A 17,563-nucleotide genomic window follows, 5' to 3' on the forward strand; every position below is an offset into this window, starting at 1 on the left:
TTTCCCCACCGGAATTAATGGTAATGGATCCTTTACTTTCCACTGTACATTAAGACTCTCTAAAAAAAAAAAAAAAAAAAAAAAAAAGCCACACTTCCCAAACTTATTTGACCATGAAACCTTTTTTTTTTTTTTTTTTTTTTTTTTGAGATGGAGTCTCACTCTGTCGCCCAGGCTGGAGTGCAGTGGTGGCACGATCTCGGCTCACTGCAACCTCCGCCTCCCAGGTTCAAGCGATTCTCGTGCCCCAGCCTCCCAAGTAGCTGGGATTACAGGCACACACCACCATGCCCAGCTAATTTTTGTATTTTTAGTAGAGACAGGGTTTCACCATGTTGGCCAGGCTGCTCTCAAACTCCTGACCTCAAGTGATCTGCCTGTCTCAGCCTCCCAAAGTGCTGGGATTACAGGCGTGAGCCACTGCGCCCAGCCATGAAACCTTTTTTTACTCCCAAACACCTTTGAACAGCTCTCAGTAACTGGTATTCCCCAGCACACAGTCTGGAAAACACTACACCAGATGCATTTTAGAAGGAACAAACAGCTTACGTAATATCACCCGCAGGAAGTCCATGCATTTTGAAAAATGTCTCCACAGGATGTTTTTCTTGCCAGTGTTTTCTCTAATCCGAGGGGTCCTCCAAGCCTCCCCAGCCCTGTGAGTGCAGGTCACACCTACCCAGGGACAGACTGCCTTGGGGTCACAATGGCTGATTCTTCAGCACTTCTAACTCAGCTTCTCTTTCTTTCTGCCTTTCAGATGGGCTTCTTTCGCCGAAGGTACAAAGAAATTATCGAAGCTGAGAAGAACCGGAAAGAGAATGAAGACAGTTGGGACTGGGTCCAGAAAAACCAGTGAGCTGCCACACCAGTCACATGACCTGATCACTAGCCTGTCATCCTTGGTCTTTGTATCTTCCATATTTGGAAGAAAAAAATCTTCTCCAGATTTTTCGGAGGCCCCACTGATGCTGTTCTCTTCTTCATTCTATCAAGCCCAGGTGCCAGCCTGAGGCAGCCACTTCGGCCAGGTCACACGACCGGGGCCAGCACCACTTCCTTTAAAGATGAACTCTGAACTTTGGAGAGTGAGCTACAGAGCCGAGCAATATTTATGGATGCAACACGCATGGTCAACCCTCAGGGGAAAACTGTTACCTAAAGTATTTTTATAAATATAAGCCTTTTATACTGATTATGTCTTTTATATTTGTATCGATGTTTTATTATTTCTATTAAATAGTTATATAATTCACTCAAGCACTGATATCTGGCCTAAAATCTTGGAAGTACATGTCCATGAATACAAATTTTAAAGGATGAAAATCTTACCGTACTTTGGAACTTGCTGTTTAAAAAGACAGATGAAATAAGTTGAAGAAACCTCATGTAATGAATCCACCAGGCTGGCAGTGGTGCATATAAACTGTGGGTGTGGCAAGACCCCGAAGACATTTCACATCTTTATCGCCTCGATCAAGTGTGGAGTCACATGCTAATGTGTGCTAAAGAACTGTAAGTGTTTTTTCATATGTACTTTTCATTGGAAGATTCCCAACAAGAATTTGGATGGAAAACCTGATCCCTAGCAAGAAGTCTGCTCTGTATCACCTTTATATAGCAGACATGTCACCCTGCTTCTACACAGATGATGGATGAAAGCTTGGAGCAATGCCATGTGGTCATCTGGTAAACCTCAGAATGGCGTCTCATCCTGGACATCCTGCATCAGAGTTCACACACCACAAGGACTAAATCCTTGTCCCCTAAGCAAAGAATTGGGTCTGAATGCTGTGAGGGATTGCCTTTTTGTGGTAATTTTCATTGAGAGATCTTCATTTCCCCTACCACCCTGGCTGTCCCAGCTAGTGGTGATTGCAGATTCCTTCCCAGAGAGGACATTTAACCGTTTTAAAAAAAATGTCTTAGATTGGGTTCCCAAGAAGCAGTCCCTGAAACAAGGATTTGTGTGCAAGTAACTTATTAAGGAAGTATTCCCAGGGGATACCAGTAAGAGAGTGGGGGAAGCAGGACAAGGAAGGAGACAAAGCCAGGCAAATGTTTGTCATTTCAGGGAGAGCTCCATGAAGTTTAGCCTCAGCCTGATCAGGGGAACTCCGGAGGAAAAGTTAGGCCTCAGAGGTGTCCCAACCTGAATCAAGGGGCTGGCTGCACCCAGAGGAGATGTAAACGTTTTATTCTCAATTCCTGCTGGCGTAATGGCTCCAGTAGCTCAGGACAGTCCTCTAAAGGACAACCACAGATGCATCCTCAGCCAGGGGAGACACAGGGAAATGATGCAAAAGAAATGATGCAAAGGATCTGAGCAGAACACTGCCCCTCCCCACCCCCTGAATGTGTGAGTGCTGAGTTACGGCCTTCAGTATCCAAGCTCTCTGTTTGACAGTAGATATATTGTCAGATGCACTGTGCTGCTTAGTTTTGAGTGCAGTGTGATTTTCTGAAAGGGCAATGAGATGATGGATGTAGCATGCTCAGCACTGACCTGGCCCATAGTGATCACTCAATAACTGTTAACAGCTATGGCTGCTATTCCTACTGATGGATAACCATCTAATAAGACAGAAAACATGGGGCTAAGAGCAGGGTCTAACGGAGTCTTAATGGCTTATTACAGCCTGCCAAAGTGCCAGCTACATACACATGGCATCCAGTGCGGATGAAACAATCTATAAAACCAAGGGTCTTTCTTATAGCACCTTTTTTACTGGAAGCTAACACGTTGGGAGTCCGTGAACATTGTCAAAAAGACATCAAACTCAACTTCTGGGAAGACAGATTTTTAATACACATACTTGGCTAATACTCACAAACATATCTAAAGTTTTGGCAAAATTATGAGGGTGATGGGTGGGTACTAACCTGGCATGGAGCAGGTGTGTCTTTTGGTTTCTTATGCAGTTGACTCTGCTGCAGGGAGATTACAGATGTAACCTCATGCTTCTCTTCCTGGTGAACATGGGAATAGACCAAAAAAATCAAGGGTCAATGGCATGAACTAAGCTGATCCTGGAAATCAGGGATGTTGCATCTAACTGTGGGATGGAGGCACAGAGGTAGCTACAGGGAGCAGGACGAGGCAAAGAAAGCAGCTGTCACTCAGAGTTCGCTTATGAGTTTTATCAAAAGCAGCAAGAAAAGCAGTCTTGGGTGGGTTTTATCACTTATTAACAGCCATTTATGAGGCCCCTGCTGTGTGTCAGGCACTGTGCAAGGTGCTGGAGGTTCCCCAGAGAACACTTCAGGGACATTTTGCCTCAGGGTGGCAAAATGCAGTGGCATGTGGACTTTTTGAATGGGATGCCATTTGCAGCTTTCCTTTGATGGACTCTTGTTCATAATGCCATGTTTTCTTTAATGAATCATTTAGGATTCTTAGGTGATATTTCTGGAACAGCACCATCAACAGCTTTGGCCACATGCACTTAGAGCAACTAACTTGCCTCCTGCCGGGGTGTAGGTGCGTTGGTGACAGTGTAGAAGGGTGATTCGCAGGCCCATGTTCTGCCCACCAGCAAAGCCCCACTGGAGAAGGGTAGACTCCTGTGGGCAGTCTCAGAGCTGGGACCTATTTGCTTCTGCTTGATTCTGCGTGGGTGGACCCACATGAGCAGCTGTATACCCAGGAGGTCACTAAGACTTTATAAAGGCAGGTTTTAAGAAAACCAGCCTTGGCATCACCACCAGCAGATACTGAAAGCCTCCCCAGGAACCTGTCTGGGGAAGGATGATGCCTCTGCTGGTCTGATCGTGCTGAGTAGCAGGTGGGCTACGGGGACTGGGGAGTTAAGCATTTTGTGCAGTGATAGAGAAGTCAAGCATATCGTTAGCGCTCTCTCAACTTGGGCAGTTCACAAGCTCCTTCCCAGCTCAGAAGCCCTCTCTATGCTCTCAGGGGAAGCAGATGGGGTGGATCAGTACATCTGTGTTACCCTTCCAGAATATTATTTGAAAATTCTACAGTATGTTCTACTTTCTCCCCTTCCTGCTTCCATGGTTTCACTGTGGAATCCTATAAGATATTCTCCTGAGCAGTATTATTTCAGTTTCCTTCAGCTTTTAGTTGAATCTTCAATGTGGTTTTAACCAACTGTTCAGAGAACTGAAATGGTTTTTAAATATGAAAAAGGACCTTTGTAAAAATGGAGTAAAACAGTGCCCCTTTTTTAAAAAAAGTTTTGCTTATGCTTAATTTACATAGGACTCAGGAGAGTTTGGAACATCCTCCAAGTGGGCCATAGAGCTGTCACAAAGAAGAGGCCATGATGTTTAGAAACAAGGGGACACTAGCAGGAGGGGCAGGGTCCACTGGCTTAGTGGCAACTGACAGGCATCCATTCCGAATAACTCAGCACTGAGGTTTCCTCAGGCAGTTCTTTAGGAAAACTGTCAGCATCATGGGTACTCAGAGGTATGGTAGACCTTGTAGAAGATCCACTAGGAAGTCCTCCTTCACCAAATCATGTAGCTACTGCCCTTGAGCCAAAGGCAATGAGGTTTAAAACAAAAACCCAACAGCACTCCTGGGAACATCCTGTTTTCCATGCGGAAGCATAGCAGATCCCCAGACGATCCGTGTGCTGTATGCTACCTGTTGAACCCTAGCATGGTGGCTTTTTAAAAGGTTATTTATGACTTTTATTTTTGGGTAAGGCATTATGGCCAGGTGCATGCAGTTATGTCTGGGTTACGTGTGAAACGTACATCTGGTGAACTGTATACTTGGCTCAAACTTCTCAAAATTTAGAGGTGCTGGAAAGGATTGTCACTTGGAGCCTTTAGTAGACAAAAGGCAGAAAGTGAGCATCATTTCAGAAATGCTTTAGTATGCACACTTTTAGCTGATATTTTGATATATAGAATAATAATATACACAGTGGAGAATATTCAAAGAGTGGCTGAAGGGAGAATACAGAGCCAGTAGGGCCAAAATGAAACTTCTAGGATGTCTTCTGAATTTTCAGCACATGGGGGGAATAAGTGAACAAATTTCCCAACATCGTGCAATGCTTTATAGCACAATGATCTAGATTTCAGACTGTGTTAAGGTTTTTTCTTTGTTGATGTTGTTGTTTTAATTCTAATGTGCACGGTGTGACTGGCAGAGTGAGTTTAAAAGCTTTACGAGTGATTAATTGCTTGGCAGGCACCCACGCTATCTGCATTTCCAGAACTTTACTGATGCATCCATGTACATTTCCACTGAGGAATTTTGGTGGGTGGGGGGAGGTTGTGCTGCCTCACAATGTCACGTGTATTAAAGTCTAAGCAGTCACTTCTGATTCACTTGCACTGTTTGGGAAATGTCAGGTTTACAAAAACATACATGTTTGGAATAAAAAATGGCTGCAAACAATTCAGAAGTTCAATCTGTAATTTACTTGCTAATAAGAACTTTTTAAAGTGTTGAAGCTAGGGTTTCAATGTAATACAACATGAGCATTAAAGAGAACATCAAGGTCCATCTAATTCACATGAACAACCCACCTGATGTGGCTGAACTGTCTGCAGTCCTTGGCCTCCACACAAGAGGTACCACCTCCTCTCTGCATCACCCTGACTCCCCTGGCCCAGGGCTACACCTAGGTTCTTGATCTTGAGATAAATGTGCCCAAATTAAATGGTATGGATTCCTTATTATCAGTAGACTTCTTTCACATGTGCCTGCCAGTTACTAAGCATTTTTCCAGAAGCATTTTGATAACATTCTTACACATTTACAAATATTGTATTCTCTTAGGTTTTCACTCTCCTTCATCTGTCTATTAATAGTTATGTTCTTGTTCATATTCCACATGCTGTTCATTTATGTGTTTTTTTTTCCCTAGACAAGACTGTTACCAGATAGGGGTTCCAATCCAGACACCAAGAGCAAGTTCTTGGATCTTGGGCTATCAAGAATTCGAGGCTAGTCCCTAAACTGAAAGCAAGTTTATTAAGAAAGTAAAGGAATAAAAGAATGGCTATTCCATAGACAGAACAGGACCAGGGCTGCTGGTTGCCCATTTTTATTGTTACTTCTTGATTATATGCTAAACGAGGGGTGGATTATGCATGAGTTTTCAGGGAAAGGAGTGGACAATTCCCGGAACTGAGGGTTCCTCCCCTTTCTAGACCATATACTACGGTAACTTCCTGACGTTGCCATGGCATCTGCAAACTGTCAAGACACCGGTGGGAGTGTCTTTTAACATGATAATGCATTATAATTAGCACATAATGAGCAGTGAGGGGAACCAGAAGTTACTCTTGTAGCCATGTTGGTTTTGGTGGGTTTTGGCTGGCTTCTTTATAACAGCCTGTTTTAACAAGGTTTTTATGACCTGTATCTTGTGCCAACCCCCTGTCTCATCCTGTGACAGGATGCCTAACCTCCTGGGAATGCAGCGCAGTAGCTCTCAGCCTTATTTTACCCAGCCCCTATTCAAGATGGAGTTGCTCTGGTTCAAACGCCTCTGACAAGACCAATAAAGATCTATGTATTTTCTTGGTGTTTTTCAAGAGTAAGCCTTTGGCTGTACCAATCAAGTCTACTGGGTTTTGCTTTCTATTTCGTTACTGCTTTTAGATTTATTAAAATTTCTTCTATTGCCTGATGGTTAAAATTCATACACATAGACACCACACAGTATAAAAGAGTTATGAAAAAATATACACCAATGGGTTAAGAATGATTGTCTTTAGGTAAGTGAGATTGTCAGGCTTTTGCTTTGTTTTATTTTGTTTTTATTTGAATATTCGTTTTCTACAGTGAGCATGTATTTTGTAACAATGAAACATATGCAGATTACTTGTAAATAAAATTATATCTGGGAGACTATAAATTGCTAAGCCAAAAGAGATGCCACATTGTAGGTCTGGAAAGAGATTTGTTGCAGCAAAGAGCATTGATGAGCCTGACACTTATGACAATGGTCCAGTGAGTAATTTCAAGCATTTTAATTCCAGTGCTTCCTGGCTTAACAAACCTGCCACCATTACTAATGCTAATTAAATAGGTTTCTCTGAGGTTGCCCAACCTGTTTTCCTAAGCCAGGAAATGGACTCGACAAACTCAAAAGAATCAAAAGATACAAATTTAAGAGGAAGAAAAATCACTAATTAGTGAAGTCTGCTTCCTATTCAATCAGGAGTTTTACAGCTCACCAGATTACCTCTCATCCTTAAAGTCTGTCTGGTCCTCAGGTTACTGTTTAGTAACAGAATTGATGTAAGAATTACTTAGAGCTCAGGCTGCACTATCAGACCGACTGGCAGCTATCCATCAGCAAAGCCACCTGTCCCTAAGATCATGTCCGTTCACTCTATGTATACATGCAACTAAAGTGTGTATAATGAGATATTGCCATCCCTGAGCTGAAATCTAAGGCTGCCTGCTGCCAAATCTCTGCTTTGCTTCAAAGTCCAAATTATTTTATATTTTATTTTAAATCAGTTTTTTAATCCTAAAAATTAAACCTCAATAAAGGGATAACTACTATCCTTTGAAGACAACCAATTGGTATTTTAAAAAGTTGGCATTTAAAAAAGAATCTCCAGGAAATGTTTCTTCTAGAAGATGACTGATTAGGAAAAAATGAAATTATCTCCAATTCCACATCTACTCTGAACCCACCTTATCAGGAGAATATTTGGCTCCATATAATAGAAAACTCCGAATTAATAAGGCCTTAAACATGATAAAAGTGTGTTCCTCTCTCCCAAAAAAAGAAGCAGAAGCTCTGGTACAGCAGCTCCATGGGCATCAGGAATCCAGCTCCTGTCTTTCTCAGCACCCTCAAGGTTGCCTCATGGTCTGAGATGACTACCAGGGAACTAGCTATCATGTCCACATTCCAAGCCAAAAATAGAAGAGGACAAAATGACATATGCCCCCTCCCTTTTAACTATTCTTCCTAGAAGTTCCATATAACGCTGGCCAGAAATTAATTATGTATGTAGATATACCCACCCACTAAGGAGGCTGGGGAATGCATTATTAAGGAATAAGAGGAGGGTAAGTGTTAAGAGACAACTACCAGTTGCCACACCCTCCACTGAGAAAATATTCAGACTATAGCTGCCTTGAGCTCTAAACTTGTACGCTTCAAATCCTTAAGTCTGGCTGGATTTAAGCAAGAGGCAAACCTTTATTTGGGCTGGAGTCAGGGATGGGGTGGATGCATGGAGCTGGTTAATCATATTCATGTCCATACAAAGCCCTTTCTTCTTTTATGTAACTTTTCTCCTTTGTGTCCCCACCCTCACTCACATTCCCCTCTCTCCCAGAGGAACCAAGTCTAATAAATACATGCCCTTAAACATGGATGTACATCATATTATTTTTTATGTTTCACTTAAATGGTATTGAGCACACACTGTTTTATTTTTCCAGGTTGTATTGATGTTGCTGTGTTTACATTTGGTTCATTGTTTCTGGCTACAGCATTACATTCTACATTATGTTTTCAGCACATTTCACTTCTCCAGCCCCTCTGAAGGAAGCCTTTGCTGCTTTCACTGCCTGCTGCAGTGAACACTCACATGGCCCTTTATGGGTGGAGCTAGAATCTCATGGTATCTATCATATATATGACATCTGAAGGTGGTTGGTTACGTTCTCATTTCGTTGCTAGATTCTCTCTAAAATGACCACAGACTGGACACTCCCAGCAACAGTGTATATTCCCACATCCTTGCCCAAAATGGAATTATCTGACCTAAAATGTTAGAATTACTTATCTTTTTCTGATGAAACTGAACATTCTATCATTATGCACTGATCCTTTTTTATCTTTAGTAATACTTTCTTATCTTAAAGTCTATTTTGATTAGTATTTACACAACATATCTTTTTCCATCCTTTTATTATAATCTTTCTATATCCATGTGCTTTGGATGTGTCATTTGTAAACATCATACAGCTGAATGTTAAAAATCCGTTCTAACACAATCTTTATCATTTTACTGGAACATTTATTTTATTTACATTTATTGTTATTAATGAAATAATTGGATTTATTTCTATCATCTTTTGTGTTTTCTTTTGTCCACCTTTTTATACTTTTCTCTCCTTTCTCTTCTTTGTTTTCACATTCCATTCTTCCCCTCCATTATTCACTTTTATTCTTTATGCAGATAACAGATACTTTAAAACTTTAAGCCTTACAATAGCCAGGCACAGTGGCTCATGCCTGTAATCCCAGCACTTTGGGAGGCCGAGGTGGGAGAATTGCTTGAGCCCAGGGGTTCAAGACCAGCCTGAGCAACACAGAGAGACCCCCATGTCTACAAAAAAAATTTTAGCTGGGTGTGGTGGTGCACACCCATAGTTCCAGCTACTTGGGAGGCTGAAGTGGGAGGATTGCTTGAGCCCAGGAGGTCAAGGCTGCAGTGAGCTGTGGTTGTACCACTGTACTCTATCTAGCCTGAGCAAGAGTGAGACCCTGTCTCAAAAAAAAAAAAAAAAAAAGACTTATACAATATCTTACTTATTTAACATATCACAATCTAGAGTTAGTCACTAGTCACTATCTTTTAATGTATTTTAATTTTATATTTTAACCACATAAATCATTGTTTTTGCTGTTTTCTTTAATGAATGCCAGTCTAGATTTGCCCCTATACTTGCCACCTTCTTGGCTCTTAATTGCTTCTTGCATCTCAGATATTTTCTCCTGGCATCATTTTCCTTGTGCCTAGTACATCCTTTAGAATTTCCTTCAGTAAGAATCTGCTGATGGCAAATGTTTCCATTTTGTTTTATCTGAAGCTGTCTTTAATTGCCCGTATTCTTGACTCTTTGCTGGTACAGAATTCTACATCAGCAGTTACTTTCAGTGGATGAATATAACATTTCATTTTCCTCTTGTTCCTGTTGTTACTATAAAGAAGTCAGCAGTCAGCCCATTTGTCACTCCTTTAAAGGGATCCTGTCTTTTCTCTTAGGTTTCTGTGAAGATTTTCTCTTTGTTTTTGTGTGCTGCAGTTTTCCTCTGAAGAGTTATATGGCATTTATGCTTACCTTTTCTGCTTGCAATTTGCTGTACGTCTGTGGTTTGAGGTCTTTCATCAGTTCTCTTCATCTCTTTAAATATTATCTCTGCTCCATTCTCTTTCCTCTCGCTTTATCCTTCTTGCCTCTTTATCTACCACTCCTAGTTCCATCCCATCATCCCTCTGTGCAGCATTCTGGACTATCTCTTCTAGCCCATTTCTGTATTCACTATCTTTTCAACGGTGTCAAATCTGCTTTGAGACTTGTTTGTTAAGATTTGGGTTTCAATTATTATATTCTTATATCCAAAGGCTTTTAGTTCTCCCTCAAATATGATGGGCACTTCTCTGTATTTTCTTGTTTATTGCATATAATTTCAAATTTATTTCTTTAAACATAAAAATCATAGTTTCCATTTTGTGTCTGGTAAGTGCAATGAAGTTTTTATGGCTCTGTTTCTGCTTTCTAGGATTTTTCCCCTGATGATCGTCACTCTTGGTGCTTGGTTTCCTTGTGCAACTAGTGGTTTGTTGGTTTGTTTATTGTTAGCTGCTTATTTTCCTTGCAAAATTACTTGTGGTAATTCTTTGAGGTCCAGGATGAAATATGTTCTATAGAGAGCCTTTGCTTTCACCTCTGCCAGGCACCAGTCTGGGGCCATACCTTGAGGTTTTATGGACCACCCAAATAACATGAATTTGAACAACACAGTCATATGAAGGCCAGCTTGTGGTTGCCACTTCTCAGCATCCCTGTCAACTCCTGTGATCTGCTCTGCACCATGGCAACTTTCCTCAAAGTTTTCCTTGGTCCTCCAGGAGTACTAGTAGGAATAGCGTTTCTCCATGTGGTTGAATCTTATGTTGAGGTTGCAGCCCTTGGAGATGCTGCTTTATGGGTCCCTGAACCCTTCGAGGCCATGAAAACCAAACTTCACTTTTGTAAGGCTTGCCACATGCTCAGGACTAAAATGATTGAAGCCCTCCACTTATCTCTCTGCCTCGCAGACTTCATTCCAACTTTGGCTTGATAATTTCATACTTTCGCTATCTTTTTGATACATTTAAGAATATGTCGTTCAAAATATTTTATTCTTCATTTTTAGTGTTTTGTTGTGGTGGTTGTTGGGAGAATTGGTCTACTTCTCTTCCTGGATCAGAAGTCTAGATATCTGCTTTCCATGTATCTAGTTTCCTCATCTCTCTCTCTCTCTCTCTCTTTCTCTCTCTCTCTCCCTCTCTCTCTCTCTCTCTCTGTGTATAACATTTTTATTATAAAACTTTTCAAGCGTACAGAAAAGTTGAAAGAATTCTACAATGAACACCTAAATATTCACCATCTAGATTCTACCATCAAAATTTTACTATATTGGGTTTATCACATATCTACCTATCCAGGCCAGGTGCAGTGGCTCACACCTATAATCCCAGCACTTTGGGAGGCAGATCACCTGAGGCCCGGAGTTTGAGGCCAACATGGAGAAACCCCATCTCTACTAAAACAAAAATTAGCCAGGCATGGTGGTGCATGCCTGTAATCCCAGCACTTTGGGAGGCTGAGGCGGGTGGATCATGAGGTCAGGAATTCAAGACCAGCCTGGCCAACATGGAGAAACCCCATCTCTAGTAAAAATACAAAAATTAGCTGAGTGTGGTGGCAGGCGCCTGTAATCCCAGCTACTCAGGAGGCTGAGGCAGGAGAATTGCTTGAACTGGGAGGTGGAGGCTGCAGTGAGCTGACACAGGACAGCTTAATGAAAAAGAACAAGCAGCTCAAATTCTACATTTTTGGTTTAAGGTAAGTTTGTGCAACAAGATACTGTCTATGATGGGGCTAAAAGAATCTTTATCAGCCGGGCGCGGTGGCTCACGCCTGTAATCCCAGCACATTGGGAGGCCGAGGCGGGCAGATTGCCTGAGGTCAGGAGTTTGAGACCAGTCTGGCCAACATGGTGAAACCCTGTCTCTACTAAAAATACAAAAAAATTAGCCAGGAGTGGTGGCATGTGCCTGTAATCCCAGCTACTTGGGAGGCTGAGGCAGGGGAATTCCTTGAACCAGGGAGGTGAAGGTTGCAGTGAGCCAAGATCGTGCCACTGTACTCCAGCCTGGGTGACACAGCGAGACTCCGTCTCAAAAACAAAGCAAAACAAATCAAAAGAAAAAAAAAAAAAACCTTTATCTTGTGCAGCCACAGTACTAAGGTTGCCAAAACTCAGACTGAATCCTGTGGGTTGTCAAATTGTAAAATCCATTAAATCCACAGATCATCAAATCCCTTATGTGAAATGTAGGGCATTGATAAGGAAATGAGTGGGAGCCAGGAATTGGAATGGGGAGATAAGGGAGGATTCCATGAGCCTCTCCTTTCCCCCATCTAATGAGGCTGCTCTTGCCTTACTTGAAGACTCTGAAATAACAAAGTAATCACCTTAAGGGAGATGCCTATTCTCTGTATGCCCCACTTCCCTCACCTCATCAATGCTTTCAGATCTATAGGAAAAGTAAGACCCACCAAGGGGCCAATCACATCATCAACCCATAGAAGATGGTTTAGGGAAGGCCAGCCCAGCATGGTGAGGAAGGACCAGCACCTCACTCAGCAGTGTGCTAGTCACACTGAGCAGGTACAAAGGTTCTGGGAGATGCTGCATTATCAAGAAATCAATACTGAAGAGCACCTAACATGTTCAAATGTAAGGGAAGGAGATGTGTATTAATACATCTTGAGCTAGGTTTAGAAATAAATTAGTGAGAAAGAAAGAAAGAGAATGTCAAATATCTTAATTCATTCAGGCCATAAACTGGGTGGTTTATAAAACAAAAAAACAAAAACCAGAAAGGCCAGGAGCAGTGGCTCACACCTGTGATCCCAGCACTTTGGGAGGCCAAGGCAGGAGAATCACTTGAGCCCAGGAGTTCAAAACTAGCCTGGGCAACATAGTGAGACTTTTTCTCTACCAAAGATAAAAAAAGTTAGCCAGGCTGGTGGCATGTGCCTATAGTCCCAGCTACAGGGGTGTGGTTGTGGGGGCAGCTAAGGCAGGAGGGTCGCTTGGGTGCAGGAGGTCGAGGCTGCAGTGAGCCATGATCGTGCCACTACACTCCCAGTCTGGGTGACATAGCCAGACCCTGTCCCAAAACAAAAACACAAAAACTCAGAAATTTATTTGTCACAGTTCTGGAGGCTAGGAAGTCCAAGACCAAGGCGCCAACAGGTTTGGTATCTGGCGAGGGCCCGCTTTCTGGTTTATAGATGGCACATTCTTTTTTTTTTTTTTTTTTTTTTTTTTGAGACGGAGTCTCACTCTGTTGCCCAGGCTGGAGTGCAATGGTGCAATCTCGGCTCACTGCAACCTCTGCCTCCTGGGTTCAAATGATTCTCCTGCCTCAGCCTCCCGAGTAGCTGGGATTACAGGTGCCCACCACCACGCCCGGCTAATTTTTGTATTTTTAGTAGAGACGGGGTTTCACCATGTTGGTCAGGCTGGTCTTGAATTCCCAACCTCAAATGATCTGCCTGCCTCGGCCTCCCAAAGTTCTAGGATTACAGGCATGAGCCACCGCACCCAGCCCATAGATGGCATCTTCATGCTGTGTCCTACATGTGGAAAGGAAAGAGCAAACAGTTTCCCTCAAGCGTCTTATGAGACTGACATGCTGCTGACTGCACCAAGGAGGCAACGCAAACCTCTTTTATAAGAGCATTGATCCAATTAGTGAAGTCTCCACCCTCATGACCTAATCATCTCCCAAAGGCTCCACCTCCTAATACCATCACCTTGGAGCTTTGGATTTCAACGTATGAATGATGGGGGCCACGGTGGGTGCACAAACATTCAGACCACAGTACTAAGTAAAGGGAAAAAAGACAATTACTGATTTCAGAGAAAGCAAAAGTTGAACAGAAACTGGAAAATAATCATGGTTTACCACGTGGCTCAACTATGAACAGCCTTATATATTTATAACAAAGTAAACACTGAGTTTTAAACTAAATCGTGCTACAACAGCATTAGGAAGAGAGGGGACAAGAAGTATGCGTGTGAAGTAGAGGTGGATATAAGGTTTGTTAAAATGAGCTAAATCTTCATCTTTCATTGAGAAAAATCAACAGGTCATGCCTAAAACGAAAGGATGAAGATACAGCAATATTTGTTATTTGGAGAGATAAACATAAATACCTAAGTAATCAGTTAAAAGTGGTTGCCTCCTATAAATGGGTAATACAAATGGATGTCAGGGAGTGTAGACTTCTGTACCAAGCCTTATAGAATTACTTGACTCTTTAAACTTTGTAATTTCAATAAAAGTAAAAAATAAATTTAAAAATCATCTGTAAAGTCTAATATCAGTTACCTGAAAAAATAAAACATGAGGAATTATGTGGAACAGGCTAATGTAGGCCTCAGGGAATTGGGACAGAATTGTGGTCACAGTGAAGAAAGGTTCAATCTAATCAATTGCTCTGTGTAAAGAAAGAATGCCTGGCTTGTGGGGGTGCAGTGCAGTAGTGGAGCCCGGACAACAGTCACGAGAATTCTAGGAGGGAACATTTGCAGTGTGTGTCCAGGACTGGCAGTGGGGAAGGGCCCAGCCCAGCCTGGGCTTCCCAGGAAACAGAGCTTGAGGCAAAGGTTTATGTATGAACACTTTATTGGGAATGCAATCCCAGGGAAGCAAAAGTGAGGGAGAAAGGGGTGTGCAGCAAAGAAAGAGGGAGAGCAAACAGGAGGTGCGCTACTGAGCTGGCCTCTGCTCAGCTAATTAATCATGGACCTCGTAGGGCTGAACTTCTGCATCTCCATCCATCTAAGCAAAGGACAAAAATATCATTGATCTGCTGGTTCTCCTTCATCTCCTGGATCCCAGTGGTCAAAATTTGCCTCCATGGAAGTTAATTCTCCTGCACTTCCAGTGTGTAAAGGATGATATGCACTCCCTCACCAGCTGCTAGAGAGCCAGATCCCAAGCCCTGCATCAGGGGCTTTGTCTGAGTCCAAAAGTGGTGAGAAGCACCAGCAGCAGCAGGGCAAGGCCCTCACAGTCACTGCAGGATGCAGCAGAGCCCACAGAGGTGTGGGCTACAACAATGAGCCAAGGCCCCAAGATGAGTCTGAAAGGACCACGCAGAGGAGGTAGCTGACACAGGACCTAGCTCATTACCACAGCATCTGAACCCCGGATGTGCAGCCCTGCAGTGGCAACAGATACATCCAGCCTCAAGCCCCACCTCTAATGTTCATGGTCACTGAAGAAGCTACTGATAGTCACAGCTCTCGCTGTAAAATATCCTACATTAGCCCATACATTTCTTGAGAGTTTGGCTGTGGGAGAATGTCCGCCCAGGGAGGGATCAGGGCCTCCCAAGGTAACGCTCCACCCGCTCAGCAAACTGCAACAAGACTGGGTATATAGGGTTTGCATTTTACTGACCTCTGGCAATGAATAAATTATTAAAATAATACATTCATTCATACAGCAATAATTACAAAAATCCACTAAGAACCAGAATGTCATGATGAGCAAAAACAGAAAGGGTTCTACCTTAAAAAGCATACAGTTTAAAAAGGAAGACAGTCACTAACAATGAACATGTAAATAAAGGGTGTTGTAAGGGCATGAAATGAAAGGGTGTGCCTCTTCTGGATTATCAGGGCAGGCTTCCCTAAGGAAGAGATGACCAAAAAGGAGGACTAACTAGGTGAAGAAAGCATTCCAGGCAAGGGAACACTATTTGCAAAGACCTAATGGCAGATGGGAGCCTGGATTGTTCAAGAACTTGAGGAGGGCCGAGTGGCCAGAGAGCAGGAACCAAGAAGCACAGCCATGAGGTGAGGCATGAGGGCACCCTGCTGGTAGGTGGCTGCCAGGACAGTGGCCCTCTGTGCCTTCAAAAGCTAAAAGGAAGGCCCAAGGTGAAGGCAGCACTGTGCCCATAAGAGTCTGAATTAATTGGAAGAATATCAAATAATTGGGCTGCCAGCTGTTCCCAGGTGGTCAGGACACATCAGTCCAGCTTTTCTAACAACTGCTTTAAAAGTGTGACACTTTTGGTCTCTTATTTATTTATTTATTTATTTATTTATTTATTTATTTGAAACAGAGTCTCGCTCTGTCGCCCAGGCTGGAGTGCAGTGGCGCAATCTTGGCTCACTGCAAGCTCTGCCTCCCAGGTTCAAGCCATTCTCCTGCTTCAGCCTGCCGAGTAGCTGGGACTGCAGGTGCCTGCCACCACGTCTGGCTAACTTTTTGTATTTTTAGTAGAGACGGGGTTTCACCGTGTTAGCCAGGATGATCTTGATCTCCTGACCTCGTGATCTGCCCACCTCGGCCTCCAAAAGTGCTGGGATTACAGGCGTGAGTCATCGCACCCGGCGACACTTTTGATCTTTATGGGAACATAACATTTAGCTTCCTAAAACTTCAGTGAAGTAGTGCTGAGGGCCAACAATGTTTGAAAAATTAAGTAACGCAGTTAGTAAGAACAATAAGAAAAGGCAAAAAGCAAGCATCTTTTCAAGGAACAAAATACTTCAAACATAAACTTACAGAAGCAATTTTAAATGGGATGCCACAGTTCCCCTGCTTATCCACGGTTTCGCTTTCCGAGCTTTCAGTTATCTGCTGTCAACTGCAGTCTGAAAATATTAAATGGAAAATTCCAGAAATAAATATTTTGTAAGTGTTAAGTTGCATGCCGTTTTGAGTAGCGTAATGAAATCTTACACATCCTGCTCCGTCCCACCTGGGATGTGAATCAGCCACGCGGCCTGCCCGTTAGTCACTTCGTCTTGGTTAACAGCTCGACTGCAGTGGTATTATGGTGCTTGGGTTCAAGTCACCCTTACTTGAATGAATAGTGGCCCCAAAGCAGAAGAGAAGCGACGCTGGCGTATTGTTATAATTGTTCTATTTTATTATTGTGTTACTCTATTACTGTGCCTAGTTTATAAATTAAACTTTATCATAGATATGTATGTATAGGGAAAAACATAGTATATACAGAGTTTGGTACTATCGCAGTTTCAGGCATCCACTGGTGGGGGGGGGTGGGAATCTCAGAAAGTATCCCCCATGGATAAGGGGAGGGGATTCTCAGAAAGTATCCCCCTTGGATAAGAGGGGGGTCTCAGAAAGTATACCCCATGGATAAGAGGGGACTACTGTATTCATCTCAGGTTGCAGAACTCTTGAGAAATTGAGAATTATGATGAAGCGTAGAAGATGATCCTTACTGAAATGGAACCATTCTCTATGCACTGTTTTGTAACCTATTTTCCCTACTCTGTCTCCAAAATGATATCATTGCCAAGGAGATTCACTCTTCACATCCTTGTAACAATGAGTGAAATGCCCTCAAATCAATGGGTACTTCTGGGCAACATTTTCTCTACAATTTCAGCTACTAAAAAATGTTAGTTTTAAACACATAAAGGCAACAGAGGCATATTTTGATTCTAAGCTGTTACATTCCTCTTGTACTATTTAATATAGATTCCTTTCATGTCTATGTTCATATAAGTCTGTATGAATGCTTAACTGTATGCTCTTAGCTTAACAGTTT

At 42.6% G+C, this 17,563-nt stretch overlaps 1 protein-coding gene and 1 long non-coding RNA gene across 3 annotated transcripts in view; one reads left to right on the forward strand and one right to left on the reverse strand.

Annotated features, from left to right (window-relative positions):
- The window catches only part of ITGA9 (integrin subunit alpha 9), a 371,367-nt gene extending 365,990 nt beyond the window's left edge, over positions 1–5,377 (forward strand). The window contains exon 28 of the mRNA NM_002207.3: positions 761–5,377. Within this exon, the coding sequence (NP_002198.2) occupies positions 761–859 (99 nt within the window). The 3' untranslated portion in view covers positions 860–5,377. The remainder of the gene's footprint in view (positions 1–760) is intronic.
- Positions 1–17,563, reverse strand: part of ITGA9-AS1 (ITGA9 antisense RNA 1) — a 108,092-nt gene that overhangs the window by 64,442 nt on the left and 26,087 nt on the right. For both annotated transcript variants that reach the window (NR_110531.1, NR_110532.1), the window contains 2 exons: positions 16,549–16,637; positions 2,884–2,970 (listed from right to left, as the gene is read on the reverse strand). This is a non-coding gene — a long non-coding RNA (ITGA9 antisense RNA 1). The remainder of the gene's footprint in view (positions 1–2,883; positions 2,971–16,548; positions 16,638–17,563) is intronic.

Source organism: Homo sapiens, chromosome 3 (genome assembly GCF_000001405.40).
Source record: "Homo sapiens chromosome 3, GRCh38.p14 Primary Assembly".
Lineage (NCBI taxonomy): Eukaryota > Metazoa > Chordata > Mammalia > Primates > Hominidae > Homo > Homo sapiens.